Consider the following 3,980-nt stretch of genomic DNA (forward strand, 5'->3'; position numbering starts at 1 on the left):
ATATATGTCTACACACATATATGTATATACACAAATATATACATACCTATATATGAATATCTGTGTACATACACATACCCATATATATACAGACACACACATCTAGTGGGTGTGTGTATGACATACGCAAAATGTATGTCCATGACATTATTGTCATGGTTTTTGTTTTTGGTTGGTTTTGTTATTTTCATATAATAGTTCTCAAAGAACATTCAATAAGCTTCTCCTGTATGAAAAGCACAGGGCTAGGTATTTTACACATAATTTTCTCATTTATAGTCCACAGCAACTCTACATGGTAAAGATTATCTTACAAATTTTGGACTCAGTAAGGTTAAGTGCTTTACTCAAGATCACAGGGTCATAAAATAAAGAGCTGATGTTACAAGTTGGGTGTTTCTCACTCCAAAGCCCGTGTTCTTTTTATCATATGATAAAACACTTCAAATGCGCAATTTTAACTTATTTTGGTATTTTGTGTTTTGTTTGGTATAGGTATTTTAAACATATTTTAAATATTTGGGACTTGGTATTTTATATTTTAACATATTTTGACTTATTGGTAGCTTATTCACCAATAATTTTGTACAAGTAAGCCATACTGCACATTCATACATAGCAAAGGTATTCACCAAAGGTCTATAAGGTACCAGATTCTGTTCTAAGTGCTGCTGATGGAGCAGTGCACAAGAAAGACAAATTTCTGTTTTTGTGCTCCTACATTCTAGTGGAAAGAGACAGAAAATGAACAGGTGGTGAACAGAATAAAGATAATACAACAAGTGGTAATATGTTTCATTAAAAAAATAAAGCAGAGTAAGGGACGGACAGTGACTGAAAAGGGTGCTGTTTATTTAACGTAGTCATACATGCCATTCCGCTAAAATGGTATTTGAGCAGAGACCTGAAGAAATCAAGAGTAAGCCAAGTAGGGGCACGTAGGGAAAGAGTGTTCCAAGCAGAAGAAACAGGAAGTATTAGTTTCCTAGGGCTGCCACAACAAAGTGCCATAAACTCACTGGCTTAAAATAATAGGTATTTATTCTCTCACAGTTTGGGAGGCAAGAAGTTCAAAATTAAGGTGTCAGCAGAGCCATGCCCTCTCTGAAGTCTGTAGGGGAAAATTCTTCCTTGCCTCTTCTGGCTTCTAGTGACTCTTGGAAGCATAGCCCCTATTTCTGCCTCTATCTTCGCATGGTTTTCTTTTTTCTAGTGTCTCTCTGTTTCCTTTCCTTGTCTCATAAGGATACACTCATAGAATTTAGGGCCCACTCAAAATCCAGGATGACTTCTACTCAAGATTGTTAATCAATTACACCTCCAAAGACCCTATTCCCAATGTGATCCTATGCTACAAAGTATAAAATCCCTGAGGTGGAAGCACATTGGAGGGGCAGCAAGGAGGCTTGTGTAGCCAGAGAAGAGTTTGGGGGTGGGTGGAGGAAGTGGTAGTTTACAAGATCAGACAAGTCCTCTGGGTTAGTGGGCAGGTAGATGGTGGAAGCCTGGCATGCTCTGTAAGAGCCTCGAACTTTAATCTAAGTAAGCTGAGTAGTCTGTAGAGAGGGAATTTTAGGACAGAGGAGTAACAGGAGTAATGAAATCCATAAAGGATCCTCACTCTGGCTGATTCTTAGAGAATGGAGTGGTTGGGAGAGGGAAGAAGCAGCAGAACCAAATAAGAGGCTTCTATGTTAAATTCAGTAAAATGTAACCATAATGTGATCAGAGTAGTGGTAGCAGAGCTGGTGACAGTTAGTCACATTCTGGGTCTACTTTGAGAATATGGCTGACAAGACCTGCTCCTGGATTAGATATGGAGTGTAAGATAATGAGAGATTCAAGGATGAAGCCAAGAGCCTTACCTGAAATTCTTCAGAATGGAGCTGGTTTTACTGAGATGGGAAGTTGTAGAGGAGGACCACATTTGGCCTTGGGGCCAAGAGTCTAAAGCATGTTTTGAAATGTTAAATTTGAGATGCTGATTGTGCATTTAAATACAGAAAAAGCATAGGCAGTAAAGGAATATTGAGGGCTAAGTTTCTGGACCAATAATTCTGCTTGGAAAAAAACTTTAAAATATTATAAAAGATGGATACTTTAAAAATCTTAAGAGTATTAAAAAGCTAACAAGATGCTAAACAATTAAAGTTGAAAATATAAATGAAAGCAGAAACCAGAAAGGAATTCAGAGAACTGAAGCTGCTTTTGTTGTCAAAGTTTTTACCAATCCAGAGGAATTTGAGCTTTGGCTGTGACAGCTGGCTTTTGATAGCTTCACAAGAAGTAATGCCCAATTGAGGTAGAAAATTTGATAGGAGATCTACCCCTTTAAAGCTGGTAGCCTAAGGGCTACACTAGGAAGGTGCAGATAAACCTGATCTACACCTCACCTCCAGTGAACTGCAAGGAGAGTTATCCTGGCACTCAACAGAGCAGGGGTTGGGGAGCAGATGGAGAGAAGTTATCACTAGTGAGTTGTAACCACAAATCTACCTTGCCCAGATTGGTGCCCAAATCCACATCATTTAGGTTATTTTTTTAAAGTTCAAGTTATTATTTCAGATTTAAGTGGTTCGGATAGGTAGTCAACTAGCCTCTTACCAGAAGTAAATGCAAATAATCTCTTTAGTAAATATGTCTTTATTAAGGTCTCTAAGAATGCTCATAAACATTTTATCAAATAAATGAGCACCACAAAGTTAAAACTAACCATCCAGGCACGGTGGCTTATGCCTGTAATCTCAACACTTTGGGAGGCCAAGATGGGTGGATCACGAGGTCAGGAAATCAAGACCAGACTGGCCAATATGGTGAAACTCCGTCTCTACCAAAAATAAAAAAATTAGCCGGGGTAGTGGCATGTGCCTGTAATCCCAGCTACTCAGGAGGCTGAGGCAGGAGAATCACTTGAACCCGGGAAGTGGAGGATGCAGTGAGCCGAGATTGCACCACTGCACTCCAGCCTGGCAACAGAGTGAGACTCTGAAAAAAAAAAAAAAAAAAAGTTAAAACTAACCACGCACCACGTGTGTGTGTGTGTGTGTGTGTGTGTGTGTGTAAACTATATCAAAGCATAATGGGTCAGAACTAACAGAAGCATCAGACAACAGAAACAGGCCCAGAAAGACTTCTGAAATTAGAATTATCAAACACAGATTGTAAAACAATTTTTTCTCACTTTATATAAAGAAATTAATAAAAAGCTCGAAAATATGAGCAAAAATGGGAAAATACTTTTAATTAAAACTATGTTAAAGCTTAGATTTGAAGAAACAAACAGAAATTCTAGAAATACAAAAATACCCTAACTGAAATTACAATTTAATAGAAAGAATGGCAACATGAAGAGGTCTGGTGATTCATCCTGAAAAAATTAATATACATTGGACAAAAGCATAAAAACAAATGTAGAAACTTGAACTGAAAGAATGCCTCTGAATCAAGGAAGAACTACAAGTTGATGGTTTTCCTGCTTGGAGACATTTCCCTGAACGCCCAAACCAGCTAACACTGCAGTCTTACATATTTGAGGGGGCAGATGATAGAGTTCAGGGACATTAAGGAGAGGGTATTTTTGCTATTCACAGCAAGGTTATGATGATGTGAATGAATGGTTGAAGTGGCATGGAGTACAAATTCATTGAGGATGAAGAGGTCAAGGAATCAAGATCCTAAAGTATCAGAAAATCATCTACATACACATTGACATCATCAAAAATTGTAACAGAAGTATTACTGGAAAGAAAAACATGGTGCCATTATCTAAAATTTTCAAGAAATGAAGGAAAATTCCAAAATAATTCAATAAATGTATAAAATAAGAATTGGGAATGTTTGGTGTCATCTACTGGCATAAGCTTCAAAAGAGCTGGACATTTTTAAAGAAATAGTAATATTTATTCACCTCCCTGCCTCATGGCATAAGTGGCTAGGGAGACAAGGCAGGTCTTGCCTGGAGCAAATCTCAATGGATCCCT

At 37.8% G+C, this 3,980-nt stretch overlaps 1 annotated feature.

Moving 5' to 3' along the window:
* Positions 2,933-3,178: a silencer, noted in NCBI's record as "fragment chr1:215677085-215677330 (GRCh37/hg19 assembly coordinates)". NCBI's record gives its function as "represses an EF-1alpha promoter that drives an FKBP-Casp9 reporter gene in an ReSE screen in K562 erythroleukemia cells {active_cell/tissue: K562}" and the evidence as "EXISTENCE:reporter gene assay evidence [ECO:0000049][PMID:32094911]".

The sequence above is a fragment of the Homo sapiens genome, chromosome 1, assembly GCF_000001405.40.
Source record: "Homo sapiens chromosome 1, GRCh38.p14 Primary Assembly".
NCBI lineage: Eukaryota > Metazoa > Chordata > Mammalia > Primates > Hominidae > Homo > Homo sapiens.